General features: G+C 45.1%; 1 protein-coding gene across 3 annotated transcripts in view, besides 3 other annotated features; it reads right to left on the reverse strand.

Moving 5' to 3' along the window:
* The window catches only part of FRMD4A (FERM domain containing 4A), a 687,219-nt gene that overhangs the window by 131,000 nt on the left and 537,898 nt on the right, over nucleotides 1-18,321 (reverse strand). For all 3 annotated transcript variants that reach the window (NM_018027.5, NM_001318336.2, NM_001318337.2), the window contains one exon: nucleotides 8,217-8,301. In NM_018027.5, coding sequence (NP_060497.3) covers nucleotides 8,217-8,301 — 85 coding nt within the window. The remainder of the gene's footprint in view (nucleotides 1-8,216; nucleotides 8,302-18,321) is intronic.
* Nucleotides 521-690: an enhancer, noted in NCBI's record as "experimental_11339 CRE fragment used in MPRA reporter constructs". NCBI's record gives its function as "activates a minimal promoter by MPRAs in K562 erythroleukemia cells, with activity observed for both the introgressed and non-introgressed 10:13817311 variant alleles {active_cell/tissue: K562}" and the evidence as "EXISTENCE:reporter gene assay evidence [ECO:0000049][PMID:34662402]".
* Nucleotides 12,739-12,788: an enhancer, noted in NCBI's record as "active region_3066". NCBI's record gives its function as "activates an Ori minimal core promoter by ATAC-STARR-seq in GM12878 lymphoblastoid cells {active_cell/tissue: GM12878}" and the evidence as "EXISTENCE:reporter gene assay evidence [ECO:0000049][PMID:35858748]".
* Nucleotides 13,604-14,194: an enhancer, noted in NCBI's record as "H3K27ac-H3K4me1 hESC enhancer chr10:13830309-13830899 (GRCh37/hg19 assembly coordinates)". NCBI's record gives its function as "activates a minimal SCP1, AML or CMV promoter by ChIP-STARR-seq in primed H9 embryonic stem cells {active_cell/tissue: H9 hESC(primed)}" and the evidence as "EXISTENCE:reporter gene assay evidence [ECO:0000049][PMID:30033119]".

An 18,321-nucleotide genomic window follows, 5' to 3' on the forward strand; every position in this document is an offset into this window, starting at 1 on the left:
ATGGAGCATCTGCTTAGTTTCTAAGTGTGAAGCAACAGACCAGGGCCAGCAGACAACTGAGGAAGCCTCGTACAGGAAAGAGAGACCAACACAAATAAACTGGAAAAAAAGAGCTGGAAGGAAACATAGAATAATAATGATAACTAATATTATCAGAGTGATAAGAGAGGATATTATGTTCCTGAAACAATAATAGCATAATATTAAAAAATCAGATAATATAAAGAAACTCTTAGAAATTTAAGAAAAAAAAAAACAACAAAAAACAAAACCATAATGGCAAAGGTTAGAAAGTCCAGAGAAGAGATTAAAGTAAATACTGACAAAGCCTCCCAGAAAGTAGAATAAAAAGACAGAGATAGACAGCTGGAGAGACAAGTATAGGAGTGGGAGGCCATGCCCAGCATTTGATAAATAGGAATTCTGGAAAGAGAGGACACAGGCAAGAGGGGAGAAGATGTCAAAGAAACAATCCAAAAAGAACCTCACAACTAAAAAAGAATGCATGTCACGTCTCCAGACTAAAAGTGCCCATCGAACACAGAGTACAATGGATTTACAAAGACCCACATCAGGGCACCCATCCTGAAATTTTAGATCAGAAGGAGCAAAAAGGAGTTCCCAAAGGATCCCATTGTTGGGGAGCCCAAGGGGGTGTCACATACAATGGATAGGATGGTGGGCTTTTCCAGAGCAACGCCTTTGGTATTCTGAGAGAAATTTTTTTTTTGTATATTTCTATATCCAGTCAAACTATTCATTAGATACAAAGCTAGAATAAAGACTTTTTCAGATATGCCAGTATCCAAACATTTTACTTCCCATATGCGCTTTCTCTGGATTGATTGCAGGATGTTCTCCAGCGAAACAATGGTGTAAAACAAAAAACAGGAAGACTCCGGATCCGGGAAAGAGAGGACCCAATACAGAACGAGGGAGAAGGAAAGACCCTGATGGGGATGCGGCATCCCGGGTTGAGACTCTGCATGAGACCAAGTCCAGGCTGGAGCAGGAGGTTGGAGGAGTCTAAGAGGGAGGTCCTGGAAAAACAACAGCAGTAGCAGCTGCCACAGCAACCAAAATCAAACCAAAGAGGAACGAGAACTACCCGACGTAGCTGGAAATTAATATTGGTAGACATCTGAGAATCTGTAGGAACTTTTGGGAGAAAAGTGAAGGGTATGTAGTAACTAAATAAGTGAAAGCAAGGCAAGTATTCCCTTTGGGTAAAACAATGGGTTGTCTAAAAAACGAGCTGCAACCACAGGATACTACTTGGATTAGTCACGATAATGTCATGCTTATGACTACGGCTTTAAGCCAGAATTATGCTATCACCATACTAAGAAAATGGAAAAGGAAATAAAATGTGGGTGGTTATAATCTAAATCTACATCCTTATTTTTTTTTTCTTTGTGACAAAGTCTCGCTCTGTCCACCGGGCTGGAGTGCAGTAGTGTGATCTGGACTCTTGGACTCACTGCAACCTCCGCCTTTGGGGCTCAGGCAATCCTCCCACCTCAGCCTCCAGAGAAGCTGGGACTGCAGGCATGTGCCACCACACCCGACTAATTTTTGTGTTTTTTGTAGAGATGGGATCTCACTAGGTTGCCCAGGCTGGTCTCAAGCTCCTAAGATCAAGTGATCCTCCCACCTCAGCCTCCCAAAGTGCTGGTATTATAGGTGTGAACCACTGTGCCTGGCCGTCTTCATCCATTTTTAACAGGAATTCAACAACCTAAAAGTGAATCAATCAAGGAATAATGCCCTGTGTCAATTATTTATCTATATGGAGGCAAATACTAGAAGAAACAGCTAAAACTGTTGCAAGTGGCAGGAGTTGCAGGGAGGAAGCTGTTTGTCATAATCAGCCTTGTGGAACCATTTGACTTTTAAATGATGTCATCTATTACTTTGATAGAAACAAATATTAATACTTTAAAAAGTGAATGAAATTGAACTTTGAAAAAGCAGAAATAAGCGGCTTATTTTACCTTGACAACTTAGATTTTAACATACAGTAGGAACCGTTCCCCAAGAGACAGGGAGGGAGCAGATACTAAACCTACGCTGGGTAAACCCAGGCATCCGGGTATCAGCATCGGGATGGGTTATCTGGGTCTAACACTACCCTCTGGGCTCTTCAAGGTCCCCAAAGCACCAGGGGGCTGTGTGGGTGGCACAAAGAGAATCACAGCCAAGAGAAAAAAACTCGGGTCTAAATCCAACGAGCTAATCACATGCCTGGCATGGGACTAAGAACTTTGCATGCTTTATCTCACTGAATCTTCCCAAGAAGGTTGTGGTTAGAGCCTTATAACATCCTTGCTCAATTAGAGAGGAAAGGGAAGCTTGGAGACGTTACAGGAGGTGCCCACATTTATCCCTTTTACCAAGGGGCATGCCTGGGAAAAGAACCTGGGTCTGCCCGGCAGCAAAAGCTGAACTGTCAACCACTCAGCAGTGCCTTTCATGATCTTTACACTGACACAGGTTACACAGGCTATCCAGCCATCCCCCAGTCCTTTGTCTCTGAGTCACTTAGCCTCTCTGTACCTACTTCCTCCTCTGGAAAGCCAGCGATTCTCGCTCCATCTCACGCAGAGATGCTGAGGCTCAAATATCATAGTATATATAAAAAATTTAAATGGCAATTTGTACAAATGAAAATATTATTCTTGATCACAGGAGGGAGACAGGGGGCCTTGGGATGCGACTTGGTCTCCTATATCAACTTGAAAGATGCTGTCCCTTGGTCATTTGTGGTCATTTATGTGCCCAAGCCCAAGGAAAGATTTTGAGAAGAGAGGGCTGGGTTCTGGAGTGACATTCAGCATGTGGGCTGATGCTGTCGGGACCTTGAACCTAAATGTGGCTGGCTGCAAAGGTGTCATCACCTCCACTCAGGGCATCTGTAGTATTTAGTTCTGACATTTATTCTTTTTAATTTTCCCTGAATCGCAAAGTCCTAGGCGTGCATGATGTTCAGAGGCCTTCAGTGCCAGCTCAGCATTTGGGACAAGACAGTACTGAACGCAACTCCTCTCCCTTTCCCCAAGCGTCTGCCCAAGTAGGCTTTGGGTCAATTTTTTTTTTTTTTTTTTTTTTTTTGAGACGGAGTCTCGCTCTGGCACCCAGGCTGGAGTGCAATGGTGCGATCTCGGCTTACTGCAACCTCAGCCTCCCGGGTTCGCTCAAGCAATTCTCCTGAGTGAGCCTCCCGAGTAGCTGGGATTACAGGCGCCTGCCACCACGCCCGGCTAACTTTTGTATTTTTAGTAGAGATGGCATCTCACCATGTTGGTCAGGCTGGTCTCGAACTCCTGACCTCTTGATCCACCCGCCTCTGCCTCCCAAAGTGCTGGGATTACAGGCGTGGGCCGGGGACAATTTTTTACTTGCCCTGCTGGAGAGTGATTTCGCGGATTCAGCCTTGCCATGCATTTACTTCGCTGCCCAAGGCTGCCACCTGGTGGAGACTGCTCACCTTTCATTTCTGAACTTGGTTTCAAAGCGCTTTCACATTTATTTAAAAAAAAAACCTGATACTCTTACAATCTGTATGTAAGTTCAGTATTATTATTTCCACTTTATAATGAGAAAGTGGGGTCTTAGAGGAAAGAATCTAAAAGTACCTGGAACTGCATTATGGTATCTTTTCCCTCCATTCGGCAAAACCCCAAAATGCTGTCCTCTTAGTGTGCTGGGTTTGAGCCCAGTTTAAGTCCTGGCTCAGCAACTGTCCCAAAATGAGGTCTTTTCACAGAACTGAATTTGATCATTACCAGGCCCTCCGTTATTCTGAACATTTGTAATTGGTGGAACTATTCTGTGCAGTGAATGTGTTGAGGTAGTTACAGAAGGAAAGTGATGGCTGATACTACCATTCCAACGTGTGTGTGTGTGTGTGTGTGTGTTTGTGTGTGTGTTAAGGTTTAATGGGTTTTTGCAATCCCTAGGGCCTGAGTTTAATTACATTTTAAAATCCAGGCAGCGGTATCTCCCTAGACTCCTTTGAATCCATCCATCGAACACCTCACAGACAAGCGCACGAGGAGAGCCTCCCTCCAGGGTGCACCATAGCCTGGCCATTCATTAGGCATGTGATCTCATCTTCATTCACTGGGAAAACAGGGATAAAAGGCTGCATCTATCTCTTGGGTTGATGGGTGCAGCAAACCATCATGGCACATGTATACCTATGTAACAAACCTGCACATTCTGCATGTGTATCCCAGAACTTAAAGTATAATAATAATAAAACACTTTTTAGAAAATTCAGGACACTCTGGGCTTTACATTTATTTATTTATTTATTTAAAAAAAGAATTGGCTGGGTGTGGTGGCTCATGCCTGTAATCTCAGCCCTTTGGGAGGCCAAGGTGGGTGGATCATGAGGTCAGGCGTTCGAGACCGGCCTGACTAACACGGTGAAACCCCATCTCTACTAAAAATACAAAAATTAGCCAGGTGTGATGGCTGGTGCCTATAATTCCACCTGCTCAGGAGGCCGAGGCAGAGAATCGCTTGAACCCAGGAGGCAGAGGTTGCAGTGAGCCGAGATTATGCCATTACACTACAGCCTGGGCTACAGAGTGAGACTCCATCTCCAAGAAAAAAAAAAAAAAGACTTATTTAATCTTCCATCAATGTTCTGACAACCAAGAGAAAATTCCTTACTGAGATCACAGGAATGGCTAAACCCATCAAATCTTCACTTGAAAGTTCTCTGGTTTGTCCATCTGGAATTTGCCCTGACTGAATGCACTACCCTTAAATTCCTTAGTAGAACTTTTATTCTAACTAATCCTCACACTTCAGGACTTCAGACGAGTCCCTGACATTTTACCCAGGTAAGAGGTAGAACTTAAGCTGTGAATTCAGAAAAACATCTGTTAATTTGCTTTCTGTGGCCCTACATTAGTCAGCTGGTGTATACCTCAAACTCTTCCGCTTCTTGTTAATTACATTTTTAGAGTAAGGGGAAATCCTAGGTTTAGTATTATTTGATTTATTTCAAGGTAGAATGCATTTTGGCCTCCAAATTAATTACCATCAATAAACTTATGCAAAATTCACTCTCAAAAAAAAAAAAGCAGTGTCTATCTCAAAAGGCGTTGTGAAGACTCAGTTAAACAATTCACATAAAGCACTCAGCAACAAGCCTACACATCATGTGAACTTTGTAGGAATGAACCGTTCTTGTCTATTACTGTTAATGAGCAGCCCTAAGGGGGTGTGACGGAGATTGCATTCATGAGACATTCATTGCATTCGTTATGTGCATGCCGGGGGTAGCCAGTGGAGTGGGTGTTTCTTTTTTAAAATGTTCTTTTAGGGCCGGGCAAGGTGGCTCACACCTGTAATCCCAACACTTTGGGAGGCCAAGGTGGATGGATCAACTTGAGGTCAGGAGTTTGAGACCAGCCTGGGCAACATGGCAAAACCCCATCTCTATTAAAAATACAAAAACTAGCCAAGCGTGGTGGTGCACACCTGTAATCCCAGTTACTCGGGAGGCTGAGGCGGGAGAATCGCTTGAACCTGGGAGGCGGAGGCTGCAGTGAGCTGAGATTGTGCCATTGTACTCCAGCCTGGGCAACAGAGTGAGACTGTGTCTCAAAAAAAAAAAAAATGTTCTTTTAGTCGCAGTTCCTAACCTCAGTGATATTCCGCAAGTCCATCTTCCCCGGGAGGAGGTGTGTGCTGTAAAGGGGTGTAGGCATTTTGGGTCATCCCACAAAAGGAGACACTACAAGCTTATGGAGCAATTGGATACAGGACAAGGGGCTGTCGCTCTCAATTAGGAATCATCTCTTGAACAAACATTTTTGTAAAGAAGATACACAAATGGCCAACAGCATGCGGACATATGCTCAACATCACTAGTCTACAGGGAAACGCAAATCAAAACCACAATGAGATACACCTCACACCCATTGGGATGGTCATCAATTTAATAAAGCAAAATAGAAAATAACAAATGTTGGAGAGGATGTGGAGAAACTGGAACCCTTGGGCACTGTTGGTAGAAATGTAAAATGGTGCAGCTGCTATGGAAAACAGTAGGGATGGCTCCTCAAAAAATGAAAAATAGAAGTACCCTATGATCTGGCAATACCACCTATAGGTATATACCCTGAACAACTGGGAATAGGGTCTCGAGGAGATATTTAGACATCCATGTTCATAACAGCATTATTCATGATAGGCAAAAGGTTTTGGAAATAACCCGTGCCTTTTGATGTATGAATGGATCAACAAAAGGTGATCTACACAGACAATAAAATGTTATTTAGCCTTAAAAAGGAAGGCAGCCAAGCGTGGTGGCCCACTTCTGTAATCCCAGCACTTTGGAAGGCCAAGGCAGGCAGATCACCTGAGCCCAGGAGTTTGAGACCAGCCTGGCCAACATGGTGAAACCCTGTCTCCATAAACAAATACAAAAATTAGCTGGGTGAGGTGGCACACACCTGTAGTCCCAGCTACTTAGGAGGGTGAAGTAGGAGGATCACTTGAACCCAGAAGGTGGAGGTTGCAGTGAGCCAAGATTGCACCACTGAACTCCAGCCTGGGCGAGAGAGACCCTGTCTTAAAAATTAAAAAAAAAAAAAAAAAAAAAAAGGAAGGAAATTCTGATACACGCTACAACATGGATGAACCTTTTTTTTTTTTTTTTTTTTTTTTTCTGAGACAGAGTTTTGCTCTGTTGCCCAGGCTGGAGTGCAGTGGTATGATCTCGGCTCACTGTAACCTCCACCTCCCAGGTTCAAGAGATTTTCCTGCCTCAGCCTCCCAAATACCTAGAATCACAGACACAAAACACCACATCTGGCTAATTTTTGTATTTTTAATAGAGATGGGGTTCCGCCATGTTGGCCAGGCTAGTCTCAAACTCCTGACCTCAGGTGATCCGCCTGCCTCGGCCTCCCAAAGTGCTGGGATTACAGGCATGAGCCACCACACACAGCCAACATGGATGAACCTTGAGGCCATTATGCTAGGTAAAGTAAGCCAGACACAAAAGGACAAATATATATGATTCCACTTATATGAAGTACTAGAGTGGTTAAATTCATGGAGACAAAAAGTAGTGGTTGCCAGTGGCTGAGGAAAACGGGGAAGGGGAAGTTGTTTAATGAGTACAGAGTTTCAGTTTAGCAGATGAAAAGAGCTCTTGGGTGAATGACGGTGGGGATGGTTATACAACATTGTGAGTGTACTGAATGCCGCTGAACTGCACACTTAAAAATGGCGGAGACTACAAACTGACTTCCGTGTATGCTGCTCGAGTGAAGGGTGCACCAAATTCTCACAAATCACAACTAAAGAACTTACTCATGTAACTAAATACCACCTGTTCCCCAAAAACCTATGGAAATATAAAAATATTTTCCAAAATGGTTAAGATAGTAAATGTATGTGCATTTTACAATTTTTTTTAAAAAAGAAACTGTCTCAAAGTGACAATAGCGTCCCTTTGAAAGATGCTGCTAGACCAACTAAAAATGGTCAAATATACACGTATTTGGTTATAAGAAGCTCATTCCTATCTGCAAGACCTGTCTAAGTTGACTGGTGCATTTGTCATACTTGTCTAGGCTTTTCACCTTTGTCTCAGTTGACAAAGAAATCTTTAAAATCAGGAGACCTTTAAAATAAGGTTAGGAAACATGTCCACAGAGCCAGAAACACAGCCATGGATCAAAGGAATCACATTATTATTATTATTATTATTATTCCTTTTTTTTTTTTTTGAGATGGAGTCTCCGCCTGTCACCAGGCTGGAGTGCAGTGGCGTGATCTTAGCTCACTGCAACCTCCACCTCCCAGGTTCAAGCAATTCTCCTGCCTCACCCTCCCAAGTAGCTGGGACTACAGGCATGTGCCACCATGCCTAGCTAATTTTTATATTTTTAGTAGAGACAGGGTTTCACCACGTTGGCCAGGATAATCTCAATCTCTTGACCACGTGATCCACCCGCCTCGGCCTCCCAAAGTGTTGGGATTACAGGCGTGAGCCAGCGCGCCGGGTCAGGAATCACATTATTAAATGGTGCCGTTAGCTTCATAACATTCCATTTATTTATAGTAATTAATTTATAAATGACTTCTCCTAATCAATAAAATGGCCTAAGGGGTAACACTTTGGAATTTCCAGCTTCAAATGATACTTTCAGGTTTCAGAGGGAAATTGAGGGAGAGGGAGTTCCTACCTTGTAGATGCAGGACTTCGCGTTCAGAAAGAAAAGCTCAATGGTAGCATTATCCTTCAGGTATGAAATGCTTTCTATATAGAACCTGAAAGAGAAAAATGGTGCGTGAACCACAGAAACAGCAGGTGCAGAAAATAAAGTGCTCTCTTGAGCTACATGATTTGAGATGAAAGCTGGCATTCCCCATCCTAAATAAACAAAGGAAAAAGGCACCATCCATGGTTTTTCTATGATTCCCTAGGGAGGACAAACTGTTTTTGGAGTTTTGATAGTGGCTTAGGGTCACGCCTAATGGGCCTCACCATAACCAAAGAACTGGGTCTACCACCAATTTGTAAGAACAAATTCTAAAACTAGGCCTCTGATTTCTTTGTCCTATCTGCTTTATAATTTTACATAATGTTATTTGTTTTCATCACATTGCTTGTTTGTCCTAAATTGTCATTGAGTTGGATTTTCTTTTCTTCTCCTTTTTTTTCTTTTTTTAGACAGGGTCTCGCTCTGTTGTCCAGGCTGGAGTGCAGTGGTGCATGGCTTACTGCAGCCTTGACCTCCCAGGCTCAAGCAACCTTCCCGCCTCAGCTTCCTGAGCAGCTGAGACTACAGTTGCATACCACCACGCCTAATTTTTTTTTTTTTTTGTAGATACGGAGTCTTCCTTTGTTGCTCAGGCTGGGCTCAAATTATCTGCCCACCTCAGCCTCCCGAAATGCTGGGGTAATAGATGTGAGCCACTGTGCCCAGCCAAGTTGGATTTTTAAAAGATAATTTCTTCTTAATCACAGCTTTCTTTGAAATGGTTACTACTACTCCCGAAGGTGGTGAAGTGTGATTTGATTTCTGCACATTCGGAGAGCTATGCTAAGTGCTCTTAACACTGTGATATGAATGCATATTAAGCCAAATGAGAATCGGATTTCATCTAGATGGAGCTTATAGATATTTTCAAGATGAAACATGCTGCCATTATTTAAGTTTACACTAAATGTGCCTTTATAATATTGACTTTGGAGTTTATTAAATTCTTTAATGAGATAATGCGCTTGTACTGTCTAATGACCAGCCGCACTGAAGGACTAGGAGTTGAAAGGAAGAGAGGGGAAAGGTTGAAATGCAACATCTTGGAGGGAAGAAGGTTCTGAGCAGGTGTAGCAACCCTTAGGGTGGACTAGGAGGGTGCTGGGTACCTGGGGCTCTTGGAAACTGGGTTCACCAAGAAGAGGCAGAAGGTGAGGAAGGTGAAATGAGAAGAAACAAGTACTACAGTTTTCTAGAATAGTGTTATAATCTGAGGGCCAGAATCCTCTGGAGGGAGTCAGAGAGCAGTGATGGAGTCCCCAGCTCTGTGTGACTCAGGGCAGTCACATCATCCTGCTGGGCTTCTGTTCTTCAGACCGTAAAAGAAGAAGTGGTTCTCTACCTAAGAAGTCCACTGGTTTTTAAATATTGGAAACTGACTACAATGTAAACAACAACAGCAGCAGCAAAAACAAGAGACCAACATCGTATAAGGTGAACAAACTGATGCCCTTAGCTTCAAGAAGTTCTATTCATTTATAGTAATTAATTTAAAAATGAATTCTTCTAATCAATACAATCACCTGAGGGGCAACAACTTGGAATGTCCAGCTTCAAATGATACTTTTAGATTCCACTGGGAAATGGAAGAGGAGGAGAGTTCCTACACTGGAGATACAGGACCTCATGTGTCTTTTTAGAAAGGAAAGCTCAATGGTAGCGTTATCCTTCAGGTATGGTAAAAGATAAAAGGATTTATCCATAATTGGCCAGGCGCGGTGGCTCACACCTGTCATCCCAGCACTTTGGGAGGCTGAGGTGGGGGGAATCACCTGAGGTCAGGAGTTCGAAACCAGCCTGGCCACCATGGTGAAACCCCTGTCTCTACTAAAAATACAAAAATTAGCCAGGGGTGGGTGTGGGTGCCTGTAGTCCCAGCTACTTGGGAGGCTGAGGCAGAAGAATCGCTTGAACCCAGGAGGGGGAGGTTGCAGCGAGCCGAGATGGTGCCACTGCACTCCAGCCTGAACAACAGAGGGAGACTCTATCTCAAAAAAAAAAAAAAAAAAAGTATCTTTTACCATACCTGAAGGATAATAATGCTACTGTTGCATAAACATGAAGATAAAAACCCACGTCTGTAGGCTACATCAAGCCCATGGCCCACCAGCTTGCAACCTCTTGTCTACACACTAAATAAATAAATAAAGCTTTCTATCATTTTTCAAATGTGTGCAGAGGCTGCTGTGATGAATACAATTCAAGTTTTTTTGAAATTGGTGAGTGAATTTGGAGTAACTTCAGACATTAAATTTTCTCAATCCACAGATATCATTAGTACAATTCTTATCATCTCAGGTTCTACAAAATTTGGAGGAATTACGCAGTGGTCCTCATACTTGTAAAGCCTGAAAATTAATGGACTGGCTGATCTCTGCCCATAACCCCTGCCCCTGCCAAGCACCTGCCCCCTGCTTCTGGAGCAGGTGTCTTATATCACCAAGGTCTTCATATAGGGCCCACCATGGTCTCAGAGGCACAGTAAAGTTAAACAACTTTTAGTTCTTTAAGAATGGAGAGCAAAATTGCAGTAGCAAATTTTACATCTCAAAGCAAAATAAATTTGATATGATTTGATTTTCTTTTTTAAATTTTTTTATTTTTATAATTTCTTTTTATTTTGTTATTATTTTTTATTACACTTTAAGTTCTAGGGTACACATGCACAACGTGCAGGTTTGTTACGTATGTATACATATGCCATGTTGGTGTGCTGCACCTGTTAACTCGTCATTTACATTAGGTATGTCTCCTAATGCTATCCCTCCCCCTACCCCCCACCCCACGACAGGCCCCAGTATGTGATGTTCCCCACCCTGTGTCCAAGTGTTCTCAGTGTTCAATTGCCACCTATGAGTAAGAACATGTGGTGTTTGGTTTTCTGTCCTTGTGACAGTTTGCTCAGAATGATGGTTTCCAGCTTCATCCATGTCCCTACAAAGCACATGAACTCATCCTTTTTTGTGGCCGCATAGTATTCCATGGTGTATATGTGCCACATTTTCTTAATCCAGTCTACCACTGATGGACATTTGGGTTGGTTCCAAGTCTTTGCTGTTGTGAATAGTGCCACAATAAACATACGTGTGCATGTGTCTTTATAGCAGCATGATTTATAATCCTTCAGGTATATACCCAGTAATGGGATGGCTGGGTCAAATGGTATTTCTAATTCTAGATCCTTGAGGAATCGCCACACTGTCTTCCACAATGGTTGAACTAGTTTACAGTCCCACCAACAGTGTAAAAGTGTTCCTATTTCTCCACATCCTCTCCGGCACCTGTTGTTTCCTGACTTTTTAATGATTTGATTTTCAAAAAATAAATCTATATCGTAGCTCATGCCTGTAATCCCAGCACTTTGGGAGGCCAAGATGTGTGGATCAACTGAGGTCAGGAGTTCGAGACCAGCCTGGCCAACATGGTGAAAGCCTGTCTCTACTAAAAATACAAAAAATTAGCCAGGCGTGGTGGCGGACACCCGTAATCCCAGCTACTTGGGAGGCTGAGGCAGGAGAATCGCTTGAACCTGGGAGGCGGAGGTTGCAGTCAGCTGAGATCATGCCATTGCACTCCAGCCTGGGCAACAAAAGCGAAACTCCGTCTCAAAAATAAATAAATAAATCTACATCCTTTGCAAAGGGCCTCTGGCAAAGGGTAGGCAGAATAATAAAAGAAACTAAAGGAAGGAAAAGAAGGAAAAGCGAGGAAAGGGAGAGAAAGGGGAGGCAAGGAAGAGAGAAAGCAATCCTAACACCAGAATATTAACAGAAGCCTCCTGAAGTTGACGGTGGCCTTTGTGCTCTAATGATGATTTTGAGTCTAAATTCATATAAGGTCTGAAATAACTTAATTTTCAAAGTAATGCCATATGTTTCTTAAAAGAATCTCATTTGCTTTAGTTCTTAAAAAGTAAAGAGTAAAGACATCCTGCCTCTTCCACCCCAATTTTCTCCTGAATAGTATATTAAGAAAATATAACGCTTCCCTTTTCGTTTCCACTCTCATATGATGGAAAACTGAATTGAGGTGGCAAATTCTACATCTCTGTGACTGCCTTCATTTCCACCAAGCTCTCTGTTGTCTAGCCATAAAAGGGGCAGAGAAGGTACAGGAAATAACACGCATATTCTGAGATGAAGAGAAAAAAAATCACCTCCTCTCGACGGAAGTGGAAAGCAGTTTCCTGTTAACTTTTATCACCAAGACGACAGCCTGGAAAACCCCGTGAGCTCCGGGCCTGTCATATCATTGTTCTGTTAGGGGAGGGTATGGAGCTCATCCTGAGCTTTCCCTCCCTGCCAGGGAACGGCTGAGTCAAAAACGCCTGCAGAGAAACAGAGCTCAGACCTCTCCACCCGCACGCCCAGAGAGGCATGGTGCACACCGGTGGCACCAGGGACAAGAGCCTCCTGGGAAGATGGGGAGGGCTGAGGGTTTGGATTCAAAGTCAAAATTTTTTTTTCTTTTTTTTCTTTTTGAGATGGGGTCTTGCTCTGTCACTCAGGCTGGAGTGCAGTGTGCAACCACAGTTCACTGCAGCCTCGACCTCCTGGGATCAAGTGACCTGTCTGTCTAAGCCTCCCAGATAGCTGGGACTACAGATATAAGCCACCATGCTGACTAATTTTTTATTTTCTGTCGAGATGGGGTCTCACTATGTTGCCCAGGCTGGTCTTGAACTCCTGAGCTCAAGTAATTATCCTACCCTGACCTCCCAAAGTACTCAGGTTACAGGCCAGCCTCTTCTTCTTTTTTTTTTTTAATCCAGTTTTTGGCTGGGCATAGTTTTTGGCCGGGCATAGTTTTTGGCCGGGCATGCCTGTAATCCCAGCACTTTGGGAGGCCGAGGCAGGCAGATCTGTCTCAAAAAAAAAGAAAAAAAAAAAAAGTGGCTTCTTTTTCTGATTTTCAGGAGAGCCTCAGCAGTAGGTGGCAATGTTGCATTTCCTTAACTACCAGCATGGAGCAGGGAGTGCTTCCAGGGTTCACAAAGAACATTCCAGGTCTCTGGGTAACCAGGGAAATAAATGAAGGCTATGTCTCGGATTCAGAGGGTCTGCATGGACAGTTCCGAGTCTGGCTGTGTATTGACCATGGCTTTATGATGCTTGGATGTCTGTGACCTTGCTGGGCCTGGAGGGACTGCTGGTGCCAGGGTTAGCCAATTTCCAGACCCCAAGACTTCCACATGTCACCATGGATCCAGGGTCCACCCCTCCCACCACCTCTCGGCTCTCACACCCAGGGCCACTATTTCCCTGCCCTCACCACCCTAGGGACACGTACCAGACAACTAGGGGGCAGCCCCCATGCTGCAGAGCCCGCTGAAATTATTTAAACTAGCCAATCCCAAGCCTGCTCTCCCAGCCTTGCCCGTTCCTCCCCAAAGAAACCACAAAAAATGCTCTTGCCCAATTGTTTCCCGGCTCCCCAATGCCTCCCACATGGCCCTGCGTGGCATGGTGTGGCCCCTTCTCCCAGGAACTGAGTGACAATCTTTTCAATGTCTGTCCTCTCCTCATCTGCTGGCCTCACCACAGCTGAATCATAATCAGACCTACATTTTAAACGGGTTTTGGGGGCACACTTAGCAGGACTGAATCTTAGGGCATCTATTTGAGTCTAAAGGAACACTCTAGATGGAGCGCAGACCTTGCTAAGAGGTTTCCTGACTCCACAAGCAACAGCCCACCCAAACTAGCTCAGATGATCCCGACCCGAGAATATTTTATCAGAGAGTCTGAAGGAGAACGAAATAGGTGCTCTGTGTTTATGTGTTTGAGCTTATTAAATATTAAACAGCCTCTAAAGCCTCGGGGAGTCCCGTCCCCTTCTTTGACAAGTGAAAGCCTCTGGTTGCAATAGACTGAACACTGCCTAGTCAGATGGCAAGGGCCCAGCCAGATGACATCAGCCAGGTCTCCTCCTCCATTCTCCCTGCTCTCCCTTTCCCTTCCCCATCCAGCCCTGGGCACTTGGGAATCACTGAATATTTACAGCAAGTGTTAATTAAATGGACCAGTGATTTCATTTTGTAATGAACACAAATGTCACATTTAAAATGCCTACTCTTGGTGGCAAATAAGAGCCATGATAATGAAAGCAATAAGCTGTGAGTTTCTGCAGCCAAGCCTCTGATGCTTAGAATCTCAATGCCTCTAAAATCTTAACTGGGACACCTAGCTGAAATATAGCAAGTTCTGGTTAGCAGGAACCTCATTTTAGATCCATGCCATCATTGTTATTGCGAGTGACAGGAAGTAGCAGCTGCTGTCTCCATCAGCCAGGGAAGATACCAAGAATCCGGCCTGTGGACTTGGCTGTAAAATCCTTCCTCCCCGATCGGACTTCTCCTCTCTTATTTTTTTGCTGCTTGCTTCAGTTTATTGTCTGTGAAACTCAAATTCTGAAGAGGCAAATCTAATCTCTGTTTATTTTCTTACAAGGAGTTGAGATGATCAGAACTACAGGACACTTGGTAGAAGAAAATGTAATTAAAGAATAATCCAGACATGTAGGCTTCATTCTGAGCACAAAGTTGTGCCTATGAAAAGACCACACACACACACACACACACACACACACACATGACGCAGACTTCCTTGGGTTGTGTATATTTTCCTTATATTTTTTTCTTGACCTATTTCTAAAGCTTGCCTGGTGAACAATATCAGAGAGACATTGTTCCCAAGCCTTATAGCACTAAACAATGGTTTGCAGTTCAAGGTGCTCTTGGTCATATATTGACCGCTGCTGGCTGCTTATAATGTGTGTGTGTGTGTGTGTGTGTGTGTGTGTGTGTTGTGTGGTGAGGGGAGTGGGAAGAGGTGAGGCTGGACAGTTAAGCAGAAGTCACATCATGCAAGTCACGCTAAAGATGTCCTTTTCTGAGGATAATGGGAAGCTGGAAAAAAATTATGAGCAAGGATCAGATGAGAATTCTAGAAAGATGCTCAGTGTCTTCATATAGGGGAGTTTGGAAGGGGTCAAGGCCAGACGCAGAGATGAACAAGGAGATCTTGAGTCCAGGAGAGGTTTATGGAAGCCCTAATTACTATTAGGCTGTGTATGGAGAGTAAGAGATGGATAGGGAGCTGTTTAAGATGCAGGAATAACAGCGAGTAGTGACTGAGGGAACAGGAGGAGGCAAGCGGGAGGGAGCGGTGAGGTCAAGGTTGACTCCCAAGTCTCTGGTTTTGGGGGCTGCAGGGGTGATGGTGCCCATCACAAAGACAAGGAGGTGACAACGAAAGGGGAGCACATTTGGATGCAGAAAGACGACGACATCATTAGATTCCAGCTGCATCTGTGAGGAAATGCCAGTCAGTGGAGATGGCCTGGAGCTCGGGAGAGAGGTCAGGACTGGGGCAGAGGACGGAGAGTCTCCAGCAAAGAGACTGCAGTGGCAGCTGTGGATGGGGGTGAAATCACACCAGGGGAAGGTGCAGGGAGAGAAGACAAGCAAGACACGACCTCGTGGACACCAGGGCTCAAGGGACAGCAGAGCAGAGCAGGGAACCTGCCCCGAGCCAGGGACAGAGGGGACAAAGAGGAGGTGGCCCAGGAGAGTGTAGTGCCACAGAGCCGGGGGAACTGAAAGGGAGCATGTTCGAATGAGCCCAGAGCCACAGAAGCCACATGGGAGCAGGGCAGAAGCACGCCTGTGGAGCTAGGGGCGAGAGACCTCCAGTGACCAGGGGGTACGATGGCACCAGAAGCTGGACGACCACAGAATGAGGAACGAGAGGCCTGTGGGGAGGGGGTGACAGCAAGTGCAGACCCATCTCTCGGCGGTTGCTGTGAGCAGAGCAGAAGGGGTAGCAGAGGGCACTGGCTGGAGGAGGCTGTGCATCACAGAGGACGTTTTCTTCAGTTAGATTGGGACGTGGTCACAAAGGGGAGGAATCCATGGAGGAGAAGATAGAGAAAAAGAGAGGAAAGGCTCGAGGGAGAAGCTCTGTGAGGTGACAGAAGGGACTGGGATTGAGGTACACGTGGATCAGTGCGTGCTGGATGATGGGCTAAGGGTCTTCCTCTGAGACGCTCATGCATTTGCGTGTGTGCAGTGAGTGGACTGAGAAGCCACAAAAACACAATTAAAGATACAATTAAGTTTGTGGATAAAGAAGTAGGACTAGGAGCTCCCTGGTGCTGGCTTTTATTTTCTCTGCAGAAACATAAGCAGCAACATCTTCTTAGAGCAAAAGCCTTGAGTATCTGGGACCTGAAGCAAGAGGTAAAACCACAGTGGGGAACAGAGACCCTGAGCAGGCACCCCTGGCAGAACTGGCTAGAGATATGATGATCTGTGTGGGGTTCATCACAATAACCATGAACCAACCTGAAGTTGCATGAACATTTTCCTGAACACACTCAGAAGCTCGGGGGTAGAAATAAAAGGTGTGTGTGTGTGTGTGGCAGGACCAGTCCAACCCTGCGGGTGGGTGTGTGTGTGAGAGAAAGGGAGAGAGAGAGAAAGTGTGAGCAGCAAAGGGAGGTGTGGTCCAGGGTCAGGAAGTAGTTGGAAGGGTGCACAATGGATTTGCACTGAATTGGCCAAAAAATAGGACAGGCAGGGCTGATAGGATCTCAGAAGCTGGAGGAAATGGACGCGAAATTGCCTGAGAACAGGGTTTATCAGTTTTGTTCGCTGCTCTGTCCTTGGCTCCTAGAGCAGTGCTTATGCCAAGGGACATCTGTGAGCCCATAAATGAAGGCATGGATGATGATGCAGAAACAGCCCAGGAGGAGCAGTGAGCAGGCTGCTGCATGCTACAGCTGGGATGATGGTGGATTTGGGCTTGTAAGTCTCGGGAGTGACACAGCTCAGGGTGATGACCAGGTGCAAGTGGACCCTGAAGTTTTCTTTCTAGGAGACAGAAAAGCACAGTTCAAAGAATACCTTCCGGCGGGTCTCCACAGTGTCAGATAATGCAGAAAATGGCAAGACCTTCTCAAGTGAGACCAACAGCAGATGTCTGAGGTCCTGAAAATTCTTGCTTTACCATTTGAGATGGCTCTTCCTCCTCCAGTGTGGTATTTCCAAGATATCCAGTGTATCCCTTCAGAGTGGCAGCCTGCCAAGACCTGTGACTGTGATTGTCCCTGTGCAGGGGCACTCTGCCAGGGGAGCTCTGGGTTGGGTAGTGCTGGAACCAGGCTGGCAGGCCTGGCGGTGGCTCTGTCACTCATGGTGGTGTGCACTTGTCCTGAACACCATCTTTGCAGGAGGATGCTGGTTCTGCAAACATGGCCAAGCGTGGGTCACAAAGAGGGCTGGGGTCGCCGCATTTGACTTCGCTGCTCCTGGCCCTGCCTATACAGGGAACAGTGGAGACCTCTGGCCACAGGTCTTGGCAGGCTGCCACACTGAAGGGATACACAGGATCTCTTGGAAATGCCACATTGGAGGAGGATGTTACTTTTCCCCTGTGGAGACAGACAGCATGCAGTAGGGGAGGACAGACACAAGGATTGGAGTCAGACCTGACCGAACAGATGAGACCTCATCTCGCCTTCGTAACTTATTAGCCATGCTGGGGAAGAATTTATGGACCATCCTGGGCCCCCATCTCCTTCTTTTTAATTCGGAATAATCAGACCTGCTTCCAGGGTTGCTGCAAAGATTAACAATCAGCCTTAGCAATGGACAGGTGCTGAATAATGGATAGTTCCCGCCTCTCCAGTCTTTATCCTTTTTGGGTAATTATTAAGACCCTGAAGCCACCTGGGATCATTCCTGGTGATTTGCTGGTTGAAAAACTGGATGGACCAGGCCCCTCTTAGGCTGAATGATGGGTCAATGAAGGCAGGATCTGAGTCCTCCCTTCCACTGTCCCCAAAACCTCCTGCAGCCTGATACTTGCCTCAGGGCCTCTGCAGAGGAAATGCTTATAGAGGAGATGCTATCTGGCTTCGTGGATGGAGAGGGGTTCTGAGTTCCAATTCATGTTATTTAATATATTTGGGTCTTATATTTTCCTAATCTGTTGAATGGAGGTGATGATTCTGCCTGGTGTTTTGC

This window comes from Homo sapiens, chromosome 10, assembly GCF_000001405.40.
Source record: "Homo sapiens chromosome 10, GRCh38.p14 Primary Assembly".
Lineage (NCBI taxonomy): Eukaryota > Metazoa > Chordata > Mammalia > Primates > Hominidae > Homo > Homo sapiens.